General features: G+C 33.3%; 1 long non-coding RNA gene across 1 annotated transcript in view; it reads right to left on the minus strand.

Moving 5' to 3' along the window:
• NUTM2A-AS1 (NUTM2A antisense RNA 1) overlaps positions 1-21744 on the minus strand; it is a 103892-nt gene that overhangs the window by 78957 nt on the left and 3191 nt on the right. The window contains exons 2-3 of the long non-coding RNA NR_024397.1: positions 19163-19266; positions 9007-9049 (exon numbers count right to left, since the gene is read on the minus strand). This is a non-coding gene — a long non-coding RNA (NUTM2A antisense RNA 1). The remainder of the gene's footprint in view (positions 1-9006; positions 9050-19162; positions 19267-21744) is intronic.

The raw sequence follows: 21744 nt of genomic DNA on the forward strand, positions 1-21744 counted from the left end.
GTGCTTTTTAAATTTATATTGAGCATTTTATCCTTCTTTCTTAAAAATCTTAAGCTACACACATTACATAGCTAGGCACCGATAAGAATCTAGTACTAGATAACCATTTCAAAGGCATGGATAGAATGCTTTCCAGGTATGGATTGTTTCCATAACTCCCCTTCCATACATTTTAAAGCCATTGCATAAAAAATAAGGAATTTTGTAGAGAGGAGTGAGTTTATATCCTTTAATATTTTCTCACTTTAGAAGTGCAGTCTTGGAATGATATAAACTCTGTAAACAGACTATCATGCTACATTTACAGAGAATTATATCAAGGTGTCTATTTCTAAGACAAGAATAAAAATTATGTTTTTTTCTAATAATAGAAATGGATAAGCAGAATTCTGGCTTCTAATAATGAGAACATACTATCCCCTAGTTTGAAATAAGTTAGATAATTTAACTTTCTCATGTTATCTTGAAGTTAATACATCATTTATATTGAATATATCAGTGCACTACATGAAGTTGTACATTGGGTACCATCCCTTTTATCTTCCACATAAAGTGATTTAGTGTTTTAATACACTTCTTTCCATATCCTGCAGTTTTGCATAGCAAAAGAAGCATGCACTTTGAGGAAAATGTACCTTTTAATTTTCTGTATTTTAAATATTATGGGTACAAAATATTTGTATATAATTATGGAGTACATGTGATGTTTCAATACCTCCTTTTTGATCCCAGATCTTTCCTGAATTTTTTGTCCAATTTGTATTGCGTTATTTATGTTTGAAAAGGAGTAATGATGTTTAGTATATACTGTTATAAAATAACTGATTCGAAGGATGTAAAGTATCTGATACTATGTCCAAATATGATTTTTAAGCAAATGTTCCTAACAATACATAAATAATAACATGGAATAATAAAATAACATGGAATAAAATAAATTCATATAGCTTTATGATTAATAATTTTACCTAAATTAAAAAGTGTTATGTGCAAATAGATGGTATACGACACTTGGCATGTAATAATGCAATTAAGTCCAATTGAATATATTGCTTGATTTATTTCCACAATCTTTGATACATGTATTGTATATCCAAACATCAAAAACCATAAGCAGCCTGTATAATGCCTTTTTTATTCTCTGTAAAGTTTTTAATATAAATATATAAAAGAGCATCTTAAATTATTTAAATAAGTCAATTATTTTATATGTGGATTTGGTATTAGAACATATATCTTCTTTTGCACAATAAACTTTTTTAAGTGTCAGAAATTATATAATTATATAGTGACTTTTGTTCACAAGGTAGTTAGTTGTACGTACCTACAAGATACTTGAAAAATATTTTTGCCGAGATTGGATGCATTTTTCTCTTATAGACTCTTAAAAATGTTAACAAGCCAACACATGAACGTACTGAAGTATTTTTTAATCATCTTTTCTAGTGTTGATAATGAGTTGGCTGATATAAAGTCATTAGAGTGGCAATTCAACAAATATTTTCTATGGCATAACAAATGTCATTAACTTGCTAGTCTGTCATGATGTTGCAAAGCTAAAGTCACATTCATTAGTGTTTTTTGTTGTTGTTGCTGTAGTGGTGGTTTGTTTTGTTACATGAAGTGGCCCACTTCTTGTATTAAATTATTTATTCTTTCTGAAAATGTTCAATCAGAATGTAATAACACCTTTAAAAATGATTTAAAAATGTATTCCCATAGGTGGGAATTGAGCAATGAGAACACTTGGACACAGGGTGGGGAACATCACACCCCAGGGCCTGTCGGGGGGTGGGGGGCAGGGGGAGGGATAGCATTAGGAGAAATAACTAATGTAAATGATGAGTTAATGGGTGCAGCAAACCAACATGGCATGTGTATACCAATGTAACAAACCTGCATGTTGTGCACATGTATCCTAGAACTTAAAGTATATTAAAAAATATATATATTTATTTCTACTGAACACAATGTCTATATATTAGATGACCTAGAACTGGTAGGGGGTTCTAATCCAGGGGATTGTTGATAAACTCAGACAACTTCTATAATTTTTACATTGTTACTCTTAAAGTCTTGTCATTGATTGTCTCAATATTGGAAAATAACATGTCAATATTCAGTGTAATAAACTGGAAGAAAAAATGGGCCAATATCCCATTCAATTAAAGACATTAAAAAGAGTGTGTATGTATTACTTCTGCTCACATCTTAATGTTCAACATGTCGTCACCAAGCCAGATAGAACCATATACTGGGGAATGTAATGTTTATCTGAGAAACCAAATGCCTAAATACAAATTTTAGTAGTACGAAGTAAGAGGAAATAAATATGGGGGATTTTCTAGTCTTCTCTATTATATATAAATTGCAAGATTTGGCTACTTTAAAAAATATTAACATTTACTAATTTTTCATCAATTCAAATATCATATTGTAGAGTGCAATTTAATCAAATTAGATAACAGTCCCAAATATAACATTTAACTGTACATCTTCCAGAAGCCAAAAAATGAGAAATTATTTGTGGCTTTTGGCTAGACAAAGATTTCTTAGATGTGGCCCAAAAGAACAACCTAGAGAACAAACAAAAAAACCAGTTACAACAACAATAAATATGACTTCATAAAAACAAAAAATTCTATATTTCTACCCTATATGCCTCAAACTAGGAATAGACATTTCCAAATTATATCTGATAAAGAATGTGTATCCAAAATATGTAAACTCAATTATAAGGAAAATTACAGACCAACAATAAACAATAAGGAAAAGAATATACTTGAACACATACTTTGCCAGAGGAAATTCAGAGACAGCAAATAATCACATCAAAAGATGTTCAATATCTTTAGCCATTAGAGAAATACAAATTAAATGAGATGCCATTCCACACCTACATATACTTTGCCAGAGGAAATTCAGAGACAGCAAATAATCACATCGAAAGATGTTCAATATCTTTAGCCATTAGAGAAATACAAATTAAATGAGATGCCATTCCACACCTACTAGAATAAATACAATTAAAAATACTCATCATCTTTTGTGTTGGTGATGATTTAGAACAACTGTAATTCTCAAATACTGATGGTAGGAAAGTAAAATGATACAGCCACTCTGGGAAAAAAAAAATGGACTGTTTCTTACAAAGTTAAATAGACCCCCATCATTTTACCTACTTATTCTACTGTTGCTCTTTAAGCAGAAAACAGTATAGCATATATACATACAAGAATGTGTTTGCAAGTGGCCATGACAAACTTATTTATAATAACACTAAACTGTAAACAACCCAAAGTTTATCAATGGGTGAATAAATAAACCAAACACGGTATACTCATAACGTGAGATATAACCACACACACACACACACACACACACACACACACACACACACACACAACCATATTTTCAACAAACGGTACTGGAACAATTGGACATCCACATCCAAAAAAAAAGAATCTAGACACTGTGTTTACACAATGTACAAGAATGGATAATAGATTTAAACATAAAAATGTGAGACTATAGAAGAATGTTATAAGTTGAATTTAATAAAAATTAAAACTTCTGCTCTAAGAAAGTCATAGTTAATATTTAAAAAACAAGCCAAGACTGGGAGACAATATTTACAAAACATGTATCCAATAAAGAACTGGTATGAGCACTCCACAGAACTCTTAAAACTCAAAAAGAAAAAAAAAAGATAAATAATCCAGTTAAAAAATGGACAGGAGATCTGAACAGACATTTCACCGAGGAAAATATATTGATGGCAAATAAGCGAATGAAGTATGCTCAACATCATGTATTATTAGAGAATCGCTCATTCGAACGAGATACCACCGCATGCCTACTAAAATGGCTAAAATCCAGAACACTGAAAACACTAAATTGTGTTGAAGATAAAGAGCAAGGGAAACTCTCATTTATTGCTTGTGGGAATGCAAAATGGCACAGCCACGTTAGAAGATAGCTTTGCAGTTTCTTACAAAGTTAAATGTAGTCTTACCACATGGACTAGTAACTTCACTCCTATCCAAATGAGTCAAAAAAACTTCACTCCTATCCAAATGAGTCACATGACTCCTTAAAATAGCTTTTCTCATAACAAAACTTGGTAGCTACCAGATGCCCCCAACAGGTGAGTAATGGTTCAATAAACTGGCATACCTATAAAATGGGATATTCAGTGATTTAAAAATAAGCTATCAAACCATACAAAACATGCAAGAACCTAAAATGCATACAACTTAGTGAAAGAAGCTAATCTGAAAAGGCTGTACACTGTATAATTCCAATGATACAACATTCTTAAAAAGGGGAAAACTGTAAAAAGATCAGAATTTCCAGTAGTCTCCAAGGGAAGGGATGAATAAATCAAGCACAGAAATTTTTAAGAAAGTAAAACTATTCTTATAATATTGTAGTAGTGGTTACATGACATATGCATTTGTCCAAACGCATGAAATGTATAATGTCAAGAGTGAACCCTAATATAAAACTAATGTATGGACTTTCATTTATAATATGTCAATATTGATGCATCAATTATAACGAATGTACCACACTAATCCAAGATATTAATCATAAAGAATATGGAGAGTAGAAGAAAGTGTATGGAAATTCTCTCTGCTTTGTTAGTTTCTACTATAAACGTAAAATTGTTCTAAAAATAAAATCTATTAATTAAAAAAAGAATGAACTATTGCTACCAGTATCAACATAGGCGAAAGTCAGAGTAGTTATGTTGAGTGCAAAAGACAGACAAAAAAGAATAGATTTTGTGACTCCATTTACATAAAATTCTACCAAGTGTAAACCATTCTGTAGTATCAGAAATAGATTAGTAGTTGCATGGAGATTGAGTAGGGAAGAGGGGAAGAAGCGATTACTAAAGACACAAAATAACTTCAGGGAAGTGAATATGTTCATGATCTTGATTGCCATGGTGTTTTCTCGTGTACCAATATGCCAAAACTTTAAAAATACACTGGATATGTTCAGTTTATGTCAATTACACTTCAATGAAAAACATTTTAAAATATTATGTATCTTGATTTTATGCTTATGCAGAGATATTATTTCTCTGCATAAAAAAGGTATATATGCATATATGCCATATATACCTTTTGGCATAGTGTAAAGATATATAAACATAGTATATAAATATGGTATTTGTAATATTCTTATTCATATGCAAAATATAGTTTACTTTTAATTTTTTAACTTTTCTTCTGTTTTTATTCCGTATCCTCCAGACATTAACACTGAGAACTTCATATACAATTACATATTTAAAAATGAGTCATGTCTAGTATAATACAAAATATCAGCAATGTAACGTGACAGGAACAAAATATAAATGAAGTTGCTTTGTATAGATTCATTTTTCTCATTAAAACATTTCATAGCATAATGCACTTATTCAAAAGTATTAACATATATATTTAAGTGCACTATGAAAAACAGAATCAAGAAATGGATACCATATTGATACTAAATCCTATGTTAAAGTATGTTGAATAATTCGTAGTTTTTCAAAAGTAACTCAGTCATGTCACATATTAATAATGAATATATTTATTTTTAGGAACTCCTTTTAAATAACTATTAGGTATATAGTTTTATGCTGAGTTTTATGAGAAACACAATAAGCATATCATTTTATGTCAGGAATAGAGAGTATATTTGTCCCTAGGTCATTTTCTATAGCTGTCAAAATGTTTCAACATCTTTTAGAACTCCAGAAAATGAGGAAGAAATATAGAAATGTTCCTAGGTTGTTCTTGTAACTTTATCTAGTTTTTTTCTATTCTTAATTATATTAATTCTTCCCAATGGCTTATTTAAAAATGGGTCTTCAATTGTCTTTCATTAAAATTCTATGGGGTCTCATTACGTGTAAGAAGGTTTTATTTCACACCAAGTATTTTTCTGTTATGTAAAAGGAAAATAAAGCTCTGGGCTAAAGAAATAACTTTTTTAAAAAATTTTCCCTATTGGGAAGTAGTTGAATATATACTTTGCTGTTTTCAGCTAAAACATATTAGAATGTGATTCTATTTACAACAAAAATGAAATAAGGCTGTGTTACATTGGCAAGCTGTAATGGGAAATGTATTTGTCACCCTAGGCAAACTGAAAGGGCAGATATATTGAATTCAGTAATGCTGAATAATTAAGCCCTCACTTATAACCCTTATATTAGAGAATTCAACTTAATAAGTTAAGTCATTTTCCAAGTGTTTGTTAATGTATCAAAAGGATTTATACATTTCACAAAGGGGGACTCAAGCTAAGCTAAAGATTTATAAACACAACCAATTCACTAGAGAAATAATTTTAACCGTGTTTTTCTTGTTTTTCCAAACCTTACTCTTTCATGGAAAAAAATAAAGGCAATATTATAAAATAGATGAAAGTGCAGGGTAATTACCTTGCATTGAGAAGCCTAGAGCTCACCTGATCCACAATATTTGATAATCCATGTCACCCCTGGTTTACTTCCACAGTTCCCTTGAAGATTGAAGAGCTGTCTGAATACCACAGTCTTAGTATACTATGTTTTGTAAGGAAACCTGCCCACTCAAGAATACCTTCTATGAGAGCCAACCCATTCAGCATGTTAGGAAGTTTGCTTCCATGTATGATTCAAGCCCACCTGGTCCAGTGGATTGGACAATGAATGAACGCTTGATTTAGGTGGAAGTTATCCATTTATTGGTTGGAAATCAATAAGCCTCTTTCACTTGAGAATTCTAATTGAGATGAAGGTTATAATAATGATGCATACTGGATGCACAAAGCCATATAGCCTCCATAATGTTATAAAGAATAATATTATTGATCCACAGGCAAGCAATGGAGATACAAAGAGTACAAGAGTAAGAAAATAAATGTTGCCCTGGAGTGAGAGAAATTGATAAAAAGCCACTGCCTTGATGTTGGACAGGTTCTTAGTTCTATGTTCAGCCTTTATTTTCTGCCCTTGGATTCTACACTGTACATTTCAAGTTTTTTTACAAAATGGTTTTGACTACAGAAAAAGCAAGTGTGCCATTATCCCATTTTTGACATATTTTGGGAGAAATAAAGTAAAAACTATTTTTTTAATATTTATTTATTTATTTATTTATTTATTTATTTATTTATTTATTTTTTGAGATGGAATTTCGCTCTTGTTGCCCAGGCTGGAGTGCAATGGCGCAATATTGGCTCACTGCAACCTCCGTCTCCCGAGTTCAAGCGATTCTCCTGCCTCAACCTCTCAAGTAGCTGGGAGTACAGGTGTGTGCCACCACACCCAGCTAATTTTTGTATTTTTAATAGAGGTGGGGTTTCACCTTGTTGGCCAGGCTGGTCTCGAACTCCAGATCTCAGGTGATCCACCCACCTCGGCCTCCCAAAGTGCTTGGATTACAGGCTCCAGCCACCGCACCCGGCCGTAAAAAGCATTAAGAGAGTTTTTCAGAGTAGTTTCTGAGTTACATGTAAAAACAAGATAAAAAAATTTACTAATAGCTCTGCAGCTTTCAAAATTAAGCAGTCAGATTTCTGTGTGGCTGAGAATTGCTAGCAGTCTCCTCCGTTAGAATTTGCCATGCCCAAAATGTCCCATGCTATACAGTTAAATGATTAATGTTTGAGTAATATTCAGTTTGAAATTTAAATTTTTCCTCTTGAGGGGAAAACATGCTTAGCCTTTCATTATAAAATTATCCAAGCTTTCCTCTCATTTCTATGTTCAAATTCATTGCATGAGTTAAAGCATCTTAAGGCTTCCTTCTAAACAATTTATATATTTGCCCTACGATTTCAACTAGTCCTAATCTCAGAGGATCACTTCACTGGAAAAGTTGTGCAAAAGTAAAACGAAATGGAGATTAACTATACTAAATTGTCATGTTGAGCTTCGTGATAAATTTAGTTACAAAGATATTATTCAAATTGGAATTAACTGCAAATCTCCCCCCAATGAAAGTGGAGTGAAATTGGCCGGGTGCGGTGGCTCACGCCTGTAATCCCAGCACTTTGGGAGGCCGAGGCGGGCGGATCACAAGGTCAGGAGATCGAGACCATATTGGCTAACACGGTGAAACCCCATCTCTACTAAAAATACAAAAAATTAGCCGGGCGCGGTGGCGGGTGCCTGTAGTCCCAGCTACTCAGGAGGCTGAGGCAGGAGAATGGCGTGAACCCAGGAGGCGGAGCTTGCAGTGAGCCCGAGATCGCACCACTGCACTCCAGCCTGGGCCACAGAGGGAGACTCCGTCTCAAAAAAAAAAAAAAAGAAAGTGGAGTGAAATTACTATATAAACCTAGAGTTATGAACATCAGAAAACATGATATAGCAATAAAGTAATTTAATGTTGACTTAGGGAGTCATAAATCAGATATTTTATTCAACGAACTCTGATTTTTAATTATAACGTAAGAATTATAAATTAGTATCTAAAAGTCATTGTTTCTTAATAAATAATGAGTTGACAAAAATAATAGTTGAAAAATAAAATTATATAGGATGGTTATATTGTGAAAATTTCCATTAAAAATTAAAATAATAAAAAAATCGCCTTTGGAAACTACTTTTATTTAAAATATCAGGAATCCAGAAAATTGCAACTTTTCTTGATCTACATAATCATTTTTACATGAAATTTTAATTCCATAACCATTGCAAAGATTTTTCTTAATAAACACAGTATTAAGTATCAAACACCTTCTGTGAAAGTACAATAGAACACAAACATATACTAGAGATATTGTTTTCTGCATTTATGCATGAACAATAAGATTTTTTAAATTTTTGACTTATCTGTGGAAATATGATAGAGAATTGTATGGTATGGTTTAAGTATTATTCATTTCTGCACTTAGATGAGGTAATTTTTTCTTTTCTAGATAAACTCTAATTCCACTTTTTCCATACAGTACACACATATACATGCATATATATGTTTCTGTTAAACAACAGTAGTGAGATTTTAACAAATGACTTACCTGTCTTTCTGAAAAGTGTCTTGTCTGTTAATGTCATATGAGCCTGTAAGGGAAGAAAGGGACTATATTACAAAGGAACAGAAATGATCCAGGAGAGTATGAATACAACTGGATTCTAAGAATACTGGGCTATTGGGTATTGGGATATAGATTGGGATAAAAGAGTATACCCCTATCAGAGCACTGTCAGTTTCACTACTGATATGGTACAAACACATAACAGGATGGTTCGTAGCATCAAGGAAAAAGTGATGGCCTCAGGTGAGGTTGCAATGTCAAATTTCCCATGGAAGATGACAGAAGATGCATATATCACAAAGAAAATAATATGTAGAATAGTTAAAATCTACTCTCAATAATTTTTAAGTTATTTTAAATTATATGCTATTGTTATTAACTATAGTCACTATTTCCATAGTCACTACAACTACAATCACTATAGATCTATTACATAATGTACAATAGATCTCTGAAACTTATTTCTCCTGTCAACTGAAATTTTGTTTCCTTTGACCAACATTGAGATAGCAACTTTTATCACAATTTAAAAATTATAATAACATAAAACAATGTAATTTTATAACAAGGAAAAGGCATTTCTTGAAAGTTAATTCACAAAATTGAATGAATGAATTGCTAAACAAAACGATGTCAACAACCAGAACAACTCTAGATATCTCAGGCAGAATGAATTCAAAGAAAACGACTGCACATATTTCTTCTCAACATTAGATTCACAATGGAATCACCTGGGGCAATTTTTTTTTAAAGAAACGAATGCCTACATATCATGTCCAGACTCTGATTTATTTGTTATTAAATATGGCCTGGACATCACTCTACTCCTGACGTCCCTGCTCAAGAATCAACTTCCGGGAAGAGAGACTGGGACTCACTGATTTTGGTGCTATTCAGTTGAACTATGCCCTTACTGATTTTCCACCTGCTGGTTCTATTCATTATTGATAGAGAGGTGTTAACACCTCCAATTATCATAGTGGATTTATCTGTCTGTTCCTGCAGTTCTATCTGTTTTCACCTCATGTGTTTTGACAGCCTGTTACATGCAAACACATTAAGGATTGTTACGTTTTCTTGGAAAATTAAATCCTTTGTTACTATGTAATACCCCTTTGTATCCCCCTATAATTGTTCTTTCTCTGAAGTCTTTTTGTTGGAAATTAATATATTAATCCAGCTTTCTTTTAATTAGTATTATCATGTTATATATTTTTCAAAGTTAATTCTCAAGCTTGTCCACAATGTGCTTCCAGAAATTAATCAACTGCATATTAAAGTTTTCTACTCCATTACTAACTCCTGTGGGGGCTCCTGGGCTTTTGCTCCACTAGGCTATAATTCTTTGCATTTTCCCATCTCTCTAATTTAATGGGGATTTAGGGTGGGCGCAGCAGTTTTTCTGTGACCTCAGTCCTCTAATGGATCTAAAATGAGTTGTTGATAGTCTGTTTGTACAGCATTTTTCTTGTTGTAAGGATGGGAGTGATGACTTTCAAGTTTCTTACATACTTGAATAACTGACATTTTTTATTATATACTCACCCCTGTGGTGGTAGAAGAATGCTATAAATTTTGGATCCACAGAACTAAAGTACTAGGAGAGGGAATTTTTCACAGGAAAGATGGTTGCTACAGAAAAAAAAAGATAAAGTCTTCTCTGCTATCTCTGCTAGACTCTCTAAACTCTTCCTGTCTCTGGAGTCCAGACACCCAAGCCTCCTTTTAGTTTTGAGCTTTCACTATGCTTTTATCTTAAAGACTTTGCCTACTATGTCTTTTCTGCTGAGAAAGCACCTTATCCCCTCAATTACCTGGTTAACATCAAATATCAAATCATGCTTCTGACTGAAGGCCAAGTACCACCTCCAGAAGAAATCTTCCCTAAGAACAGCCTACATACAGTTAATTGTGTGATCCCTTTTCTTATATCCTTCGAATACTCTTCCTTCACATTACTCTTCCTTCACAGCCTTTAGCCAGACAACACATTACAGGAAAACAGGGAGAACATGATTTTGCCATTCACTCTTACCTTTGCCTAGCCCAGTGCCTGGCAAATGATAGATTCTCATTATATATATATATATATTTGAATGAATTAATAAATCCAAGTAAAGTAATTGATGTTTTGGAGTTATCTAAGGCTGTTAAAGTCAGTTAAATATAGTTAATGTGAAGCAAAAAACCGTAAACAAAATTAACGTAATATACACGCTGATGTTACTATTTTAGAAAAAAACACAATAATTTACAAATTCCTTTCAATAATTCAATTAATGTTTATGAGATTTGATTGAAGACAAATCCATCACGGCAATCTGTGAATGCTTTGTTGTAAATAAAAGGTAATCCTTGTAATAAGCAAAAACAAATTAACATAACAAATGTCAATTTACAGATAGACAAAAAGTGATTGTTTTCTGAATGAAAAGAGGATTATTAACAGTTGGCATAAGAAATCAAAAATTAGTTCAACAATTAGTCATATGGAAATGTCAAATATTGACAATGTGATAAAGAAAACAAGAGTTTCTGCAAATAACCTCCCATCCCTGATGTGAGTCTTTCACGTCATTCTATAGTTCAACTAGTTCTTAATAACTCAAAAACAGGAAAGATAAAATCCATCATTTTGTTTTACTACCCAGATCCCTCCCGTAGCTGTCACACAGAGTGTGATTTATGACTTGTAAGTTGTGCTATGGAGCTTGACAAGTAAGTTTGATTTCATTTAATATTTTCTTTAAACCATCTTAGATCTTCTCTTTGACAAGTATTTCATCTATTAGTGTTCTCAAAATGTAAAATGGGTAACTTAATGAGAACAAAAATTGTACCCAAAGATATATTTGCACTATCTACATATTTGCAATTAAATCTTAACAGATTTAATTGTAATAGAATCTAATGGTTTTCCTCTTGAATTTCTTTAGACACCAGAAATTTTTATTACTAATAAATAATGTTTAGCTTCCTAGTCACAAACCAAACAGAAAGCAAATTTCATCAGAGTTTAGAATGGTTAAAACCAACATAGCTGCAATATTTTTAGTTTTGCTTTAAAATTTTGTTTAATCAAACAGTAAATCAATCAGAGTTGATCATTATGTAATCCACAGACCTTGAAATAACAGAGATATATTTCTCCGCAGATCAATATCTATATATGTTTTTAAGATAAGTAGAAATTCCCCTGAAGATCATAAAGAAAAAGTATGTCATATAATATAGTTAAAAAAATAGTTATTAATTTTTTCTGCTTATGATGTTCCAGAATCTGTACTAAGCATTTTAGAGGATTATTTTATTTAGTTCCCACAATAATCCCTTGAGAAATATACTACAATAATCATCTTTAATTCACAGTTATTGAAAATGAGACACAAAGAGGTTAAGAATTTTGTCCAAGGTCAGGCAGCTAGCATGACTTAGCAAGGGTGTAATTAAGAAAAAATATGTTTTTCTTATCTTATGGGAAATTTGGAAAAGCAAATATCTACATTCTCTTTTTAATAAAAAAAATAAAATATAAAATGTGAGTCTCTCTTAAAGCAGGGAATCAACTTTAATTAAATTGAAACAATACATAATCCTTTGTTGTTCAGGTTCTGTATTATTATTATCTCTGCTGACAGCAAAAGCTAAGAATAGAAAATATTTCTGACCCAAGTTGGCAAATTATGAATCAACCTGCTAAAGAATCAGAATAAACTAACAAGTGGAATTAAATATGATTATTCTATATTATATGTATAATATAAAAATTTCTTATTGTTATAATTTTACTAAGATTCTACCAGTTTCAACTAAATTATCTTTTAAATCCAAGCTTAATAAAAGAAATTGGCATGAGATGTTTTCATAGGAAATAGTGACAATTCATATTATTTTTAATTAAGTGCAAATGAGATACATTATTTCTGTATTTCATTTTCCTTCTAAAAGTCATCTTTAAAGTTTTAGTTTTTCTGAAGTTGACAGCTATTACTAACTCTTTTGGGCCAAGTTTTTTGAGATAGATTAATTTATAAAATTAGGAAGAAACTAAAGTAGTTGCAAAAGTTTCTAAAAAGATAATAAAGTAGTTGTCTCTATGTTATAATAGAAAATGAGAATGTGAATGCAGATCATTTTGACTGTTTGTGTTTTCAGCAAATATTACCTGAATATTGATATATAAATTAGAATTCCCCAAAGGAAAACATTTTAAAATGTTAAAATTAATAAAATCATTAACTTACATACTTGTCCTTAGTATCAGGACAATCTCCAGTGGATTCAACAGAGCATCTGCAGTTTTGTTGAACAAAGGTTTCTGCAATATAGACTTATGGTGTGAGCTTACTGGGTCACATTCTTTGTTCCTTCTTGGAGCTTTGGGAGGCTTTTATAAAAGAGCTGCTGCAGTAGAAGGACTGAGTTGTGTCACACTGAGGATTTAAGTTTCTATGGGAGAATCAAATTCACTTTAGTATAGGGATTTAGTGGGTTTCCCTAGCCTTATTAATAAAATACTAATACGACATTAAAAATGCATACTTTGTCTTACAATAATCCAATTAAGACACTATTTTTGCATAGCAAAATTCTTTACTAAACACCAGTTGCAAATCAAGTGAAATTGCATTGGCAAGAGGTGATCATACTGCTCTCCTACTCCTGCCCTTTCCTCCTACTCCAGCTGAAAATACTTGGTGCAAATGTCCTTTTATAGGAGACTTTGACCCCAGGGTATAGAAAAGGAAAGGAAAAGGTCACATATATATATGTCTTGTCTATAACTGAAACCTAATACCAGCACAAAAGCCTAAAAGGACCGATTTTTAGAGGGCGTTGGCAGGAAACTCTTTGCTCTGCTATCATCTGTTTTAAGCTACTTTTATACATGATTTATTTTTTCAGCTTCTACTCTGCTACTATTCAACTGCAAATGCAATTTGTTATATTGTACACTTCAACACCTTGAACAGCATCCTAATTATTATTGAAATGTATTACGAGTTCGTAAAGAAAACAGCATTTTGTTTCTTCAGTCATCTACTTAGGATGAAAGTGTTATTTAGAAAACAATAAATGGGAAAAATGATACATTAAAAATAAAAATTGCTATTAACTTTTTAGATCAAATAAACCAATTTTAAGCATTTTCATGGACCTTTATAACCAAAATAAACATTTAAATACAGATAATTTAATTCAGTATTTTGTTTCTTGAAAATATTGGAATATGTGTTTTAGATAATGCATATATTTCTGTTATTGAAAAATAAGCTTTCAATAGTCAGCTGACTTCATACGTAAATAATAATACCATTTTAAATTTATTCAAGGATTTAGGTGTTCTTAAATATGACTTTATAACTTATTTTACTCCCTTAAAGTAAATATTTATGGCATCTGTAAGTCATTGTAAAATTGTAAAATTGGTATAGCATAGTATTCAGATTGTCCTTTGTAATGTTTTATACTATTCACATTTGTATTTAATCACAAATTTGATACAATTTAGCCAAACCTTCAACACATTTATGAAGAGAGCACTACCGAGACTTTATACAATGGAATAAAATAACAAAATGTGCTGACAGCATTCTTCCACTCAAAGAGGTATATATATATTTTTTATTCTAATTCTTTAATTTTATTTTTTAGCACCCAATGATAGGGAAAATTACTGGAAGTGTGATTAAGGCTATTATAAGATACATAAACTGTATGGCATAAGCATTCTCAACTCAACTTCACACTCTACATCGTTTTATCAACTTAGTATGCCAGCTTTTTAAGTTTGGTGGAATCTGGTATTCCACACCTACATGTCTCTGAATCCCATCCGTGTACTGATGCCAAGATGAACTGAACCAGGGATGAATTTTTCTCTTATATGGAAACATGAATATATTCCAAACTGGAGTGAGCTCTCATCAGCGGTTTGCCTATGGTAATTACTTTGTGCCTTGTAATGGGTCATGTAGTATCCTCATAAGGGTGCGTCTGAGTCCTAGACCCTCTCCCATTCCAGTACCTGTAAATATCACCTTATTTTGAAATAGGAGCTTTACAGATATAATAAAGATCTCAGGGTGAGATCATCCTGAATTTAGAGTGAGTCATGGGTATTTGGGACACAGAAACACAAGCAAGGTCATGTGAAGATAGAGACTAAGGTTGGAGTTATGCTGTCACAAGCCAAGGAGTGCCAGGAGCCAACAGAATCTAGAAGAGGCAAGGAAGGATTCTTCCCTAGAGCCGTCAGAGGGTGTATGGCTCTGCCTCCACCTTGATTTTGGTCTTCTGGCCTCTATAATTGAGAATTTTTTTTCTTTTTTTACTATTTTAAGCCACAAATTTTGTAGCAATTTCTTTTGGCAGCACTAGGAAACTAGTTAATACCTCTATTGTTTGGTTAAACAAAGAACACTATTAAGTATTTTTAAAACAATGTACATCAGTGTTGATTATGGTAAGCATACAGTTTATAATCAGATAGGTTTCTGTGTAAAATTTCATGTTATTATATTGATTTGTTTTAACCATACAAGACTTGCTTGGATGTGGTACCATTGAATACCATCCCCATTCCCTCCTGTCCCACAGCTTTTTGAAATGTATGGGGCTTTGTTCTAGACTGAACATTCCTTTTCCCTCAAATTTCATATGTTAAAGCCCTACCCCACAATGTGACAGTATTGGGAAGTGAGGCCTTTGAGAATTAATTAGGTTTAGACAAAGTCATGAGCATAGGGCCCTCATCAACGGAATTAGTGTCCTTATAAGAACAGGAAGAGAGTCTATAGAGTGCTCTCTCTCTCTCTCTTTCTCTCTCTATCTGCTATGTGAGGATACAGCAAGCCCGGAAGAGGACCCTCACCAGGAAACAAATTTGCTAGCACCTTAATCTTGCACTTTCCAGCTTCTACAATTGTGAGAAATGTCTGTTGTGTAAGCAATTCAGTCCATGATATTTTGTTATAGAAGCCTGGACTGACTGATAAAGGCTGGAACATGCTGGAGAGATGGTACAAAAACTAATTTTAGAAAAATATTTTAAGTTGTAAGATCTGAAGCAAAAATCCCTTACATATTACCATTTACATCACCAAATTACTCCATTTACAGTATCAAATTAAGGAAATTTATGTTTTATTCAAGCCTTTTAAAATCAGCACACCCACCTTGCAGAAGTAATTAATAACCCATGATTATTAATTATGTTGGCCAAGTTAATTTTCATCCAGTATTACTTGCAGGGAAAGTTTGAAATTGATGAATCATCTCCCTTTTGAGATGTCACTTGTAGAACTAAAGGCTACCTATAATTTCTGTAATTGTTACTCTTTAATGGAACTTTAAACTTCTAAGAAAAATATTTCAATATATTGTTAAATTGACTTCAATGACTAAGATTGTGGTGGAGAGGATATTTCCCCAAACTAACTCTTTCTCTGACACTTAGGGGTTCATTGTAATAGTAACACCTTGCTAGCAATCATCTGCTAGTGATTTGCTCATGGAAGAAGAAGGCTAAGGAAATTTAGGTTTGATGACCTTTTTCAGAGTTTCTGGGAAAGCAAAACCTTCTCTCTACTACTCACTGCAAACAAGCATGTTGTGCAAGCTACTGCTGCCAACCAGGTCACATCCATTAGTGAAGTCAATGCTGTGGAGAGAGACATTCAAACCTGGGTCACTGATAGTATCATTTTCAATTTCTGACCCAATCAATTCTGGGGCTTCCAATTCCTCTCTCCATGGTCTTATGTGAAATAATACATTTTTTAAACTGTTGAAGTCATATTGAGCTGAAATTTCCCTTAATTACAACTCTTAATATTTTAACTATTTATGCTAAGTTTCTTTGTTCCAGAAAAAGTACTTTAACTCGGCCGGGCGCGGTGGCTCACGCCTGCAAGCCTGTAATCTCAGCACTTTGGGAAGCCGAGACGAGCGGATCACGAGGTCAGGAGATCGAGACCATCCTGGCTAACACGGTGAAACCGCGTCTCTACTAAAAAAAAAAAAAATTAGCTGGGCGCGGTGGCGGGTGCCTGTAGTCCCAGCTACTCCGGAGGCTGAGGCAGGAGAATGGAGTGAACCCAGGAGGCGGAGCTTGCAGTGAGCCGAGATCGCGCCATTGCACTCCAGCCTGAGCGACAGAGCGAGACTGTTCAAAAAAAAAAAAAAAAAGTACTTTAACTCATTTTCATTTTTGTAGGACTTGAATTTTTTAGGGCAGTTTCAGTTTCACAGAAAAATTAAGAGGAAGACATAGAGATTTACCATATATATGTAGTAATATATATTATATATGGTAATATACCATATATTACTATATATATATATATATATATATATATAACAAGCATGTGGAGGCAGGGTATATTATATATATACACACACACACACACACACACACACACCCTGACATAATATATATATATATATACACACACACACACACACACAACCCCTGACATAATGTGTATATATAATATATGTTATATATTATATTATATATGTAACATATCCTGCCTCCACATGCATGGCCTCCTTCATTATCAATATCTTCCTCCAGAGTGGTACGACTGTTAAAATTGCCTCGCCTACACTAATACAATTTTATTGCCCAGTGGTAAATATACATAACATAAAAGGTACCATTTAATCATTTTCAATTCTAAAACTCAGTGATATTGAATACATTCACAATGTTGTATAATTAACACTGTTTTCATAACTTTTCTATCACATCAAACAGAAGTTCTGTACCATTAAGCACTAATTCTCCATTCCCCTTGCCCCAGCCTCCATGCCCTGGAAACATGCAATCTGCATTCCCACTGCATGAATTTGACTATTCATGATCTTTCATATAAGTAGAATCATATACTGTTTGTCCTTTTGTGTCTGGCTTATTTTATTTAGCATAATATTTTCAAGGTTTACCCATGTTGTAAACATGTATCAGAACATCATTCCCTTTTTATGGCTAAATAATCTTCCCTTGTATGTACATGCCACATTTTGTTTATCTACACATACAGGTTTGTTTTCACTTTTTGACTCTTGTGAATAAGAATGAGTGATGGTATCTGGTGTGTGCATACAGCCATTTTCTTACTAAAGGCCAACAGCATCAAGCAGTCTACTAATGGTTGTTATTTATCTGATTAGGATCCAGAGTTCCAAAAAGGTTAATTCTTATTTTTTCCAGTTTAATGGCAGTTTTTGTGGAGGGATTGACTTCTATAACTTCCTATTCCAATCTTCTAAAATCCACTTTAAAAGAATGGTTTAAATTGTGTGCTTGTAAGATGAAATTGATAAACAATTATTTTAATAACTTTCAAAATTACATCATAGAGATAATGTCCTTTGACTATTGGGTGTTCATATATTTGGCATGTTATGAACAACCTTCTGGAAGATAAAGGCCTTTTATCTCATACTTAATATTAAGACAGGAACCAGTGTGCTAGCAATGGCTTTTGGGTTTGATGTGATATATTTGCATGTAATGATTTTTTAAAACTTAGAGAGAAAAATCCTCTCATACAAAACAAAATAGTTTTTACTGTTATGAGAAAGTAGTTATTAATTACTTATAAAACATGCAAGTATCTTTATGATATTTGGTGACTTATTTTTCTCCAGCCATCTTGTCTTGTTGTTAGTGGGGAAAAAAATGGGGATGCTCTTTATCTATGAAAATGTGAAAAGTATATACACATTTTAACTATACATGGTTTCCCTAAAAATTCTTCTTCTGTTTTTAATCCTCTAAAATGATCATTGATATGTACAAATAAATATTGATGATAGCAACTGAAGGATCATTTTTGCTGTTATCAGAAATTGAAAATACTGTAACAGTCTATCAATAGAGAAATGGTTATGTACATTATGATACATAGCATATGTCCATATTTAGAATACGTACCAAATGTATACAACAAAGTACAATGAATACATGATTATACTAAGATGGATAGGCATGGATCCACATATTACTCTGTTTGTACATGGTCTTTTCCAAACAGAAATACAATGTAAGAAAGAAGAAAAGAAAAATAAAGAGAAAGAGAATAAAGGCGACAAAATAAAATATAAACCAGGATGCATAAGCTGGTCTCACCTTAGGGCTGGAACACCAGTAAAGCTTCTCTTCTCTGGAAAAAGCTTAGGTCTCTGAAGTTTTCTCAGTGCATCAAAACTGACAGCAGCAGGAATATGGTTTTGCTAAAGGCAACAGAAGAGCAAAACAGTCTCAAGATTTAAATATTAATCCAAAGGTTAAACTTTTTACCTTAATGTTGCTACTTTCTGTATGCACATCCCACAGGATGTAGGAAGGTGGAAAGGATGAAGGAATGTGGAAAATGTAGAAAATTAGAAAATAAGGTAAATTTAAAAGGTAATACGACTAACATTCATTCATTCACATTAAGCTCCTACCTTGTACCACATTCTATTGTAGACACTGCGGATATAGCAGTGAAAAAAAGAAAATAAAGAAAAATATGCCTTTTTGGAGCTTACATTCTCTTGGAAGGAGATGTGTAACAACATAAATAATTAAACTATATAATATGTTAAGTGTTGCTAAGTGCTATGGAGGAAAGTAAAGCAGACAAAGCAAATAAAGAACATGAGGAGGAGATATAATTTTAAGTAGGGAAATAAGGAAGGCATGACGGAGACAGTAGCATTTGAGTGAAAGACTTGAAGAAGGTGATATGGTTTGACTGGGTCCCCCACTAAATCTAAAGCTTGAATGGTAGTTCCCATAATCCCCACATATCATGGGAGGGACCTGGTGGGAGACAATTGAATCATGGGGGCAGTTACCCCCACGCTGCTGTTCTTGTGATATGAATGAATTCTCATGTTCTCTGAGGGTTTTATCAGGGTTTTTTCCCCCATTTTGCTTGGCACTTCTCCTTGCTGCCACCACGTGAAGAAGGATGTGTTGCTTCCCCTTCCACCATGGTTGTAAGTTTCCTGAGGTCTCACCAGCTGTGCAGAACTGTGACTCAATTAAATCTCTTTCCTTTATAAATTACCCAGTCTAGGATATATTTTTATTAACAGCATGAGAAGGAACTAATCCAGGAGATAAGGAAACAATTCAGGGAGGAATTTGAAGACAGGTGTTTTCAGTCAGAGAAACCATGTACAAAGTATCTAATATGAGAGTGCTATGGTCTGAATGTTGACAACCCCCCCCCCCATTACTGTTGAAATGTAATTCACAGTATGATACTATTAAAAGTTAAGGTCTTTGGAAGGTGATTATGTCATGAATACAGAGCCTTCATGAAGGAGATTGGTGCCTTTATAAAGGATGCCTGAGGGGGCTGGTTTGTCCCTTCCACCATATGACGACTCCACCATGTGAAGAAGAAGATGGGTCTATGAACTAGGAAATAGGGCCTCATCATATATGGAATATGTGAGCACTTTGATCTGGGACTTAGCTTCCAGAACTGTGAAAAATAAATTTCTGTCATTTATAAGCTACTTAGTCTATGGTATTTTGTTATAGCTGCTCGAATGGGCTAACACAGAGACAATTCCCAGCCTGCCCAAATAGCACCAGGAAGTGTTGGGTACAGCAAACCTGGAACAGAGGCATGAGGGGAAGAGCAACAGGGCTGTGATCAAAGAGGTGTGCCTGGTGGGGAGCATGAGTAGAGCTATATAATCTGTACAATAATGACTCAGAGTGGAATTAGAAGTCCTTAAAAGTGAGTGAGCAGAGTGGCATGATCTCCATGATACTATGTTATATTCTTGCTTGGGTATTGAGAAAAGACTGAAGGTGAGGGCTAATGCAGAAGCAGGAAGGGGGATAAAAATTCAGATGAGACATGATTTTGGCTTGGCCTGGGTGGATAACAGCAGTAGTAAAAATTATTTAAATGTTTTGAAGGTGGGTTTGCTGAGAAGTAAAGGATGTGTGGAGAAAACTGGATTGAGAATTGTATAAGGACTGTATTGTATATTGTATGAGAGTGTAGATCCAGGATGAGTCACAGTATTTTTGAAGTTGTAGTAAATGGAATGAACTAGAAAGATAGAAGTTAATGTTCAGAAGGCAGGAGACTTAAAAGTTAGATTGTAAAAATTTGCAATTAGGAGTAATAACGTGGTTTGAGCTGAGATCATGAGATTGAATAGCTAGATACTGAAGATAGCAAGTACATTGGAAATGACGAGGTCAAATGTCAAAGAAGATAAGTAATTTAAATGAGACATCAAAATAATGGCAGTAAGTCAGGTTGTAAAGACTTCAAAGAATGAGGGAAAGTGACTAAACATTGGGAGAGTGATCAATATAATCAAATGGTATGAGATTCCAAGCTGGAGGGGTTTGAGGAGAAGGAAGTAGAAGTATTCTGCAAGAGGACACTTATTTTACTTCTAGAGGCAGTGGTTAGAGCGCTGAGGGTGAGAACTAGTCTGCACTTAGGGGGAGACATGAGAAGCAGCAGCATCAGTGAGAGACAGATGACAATAAGAATGAAAATGTAAAGGGAAAATTGAGAAACTTATAAAAATTGAGATTCTTCTATGCACTCTGTACGTTTCTTACAGAAGCTTTCAACGCATTTAATTTCATTTAAATCTTGCAATACTCTTGAGAGATATTATCATTCCCTTTTTACCAAAAAAAGGCTGAATGGCCAAGATCACATAAAATCACATAAGTAATAG

Source organism: Homo sapiens, chromosome 10, assembly GCF_000001405.40.
Source record: "Homo sapiens chromosome 10, GRCh38.p14 Primary Assembly".
Classification (NCBI taxonomy): Eukaryota; Metazoa; Chordata; class Mammalia; order Primates; family Hominidae; genus Homo; species Homo sapiens.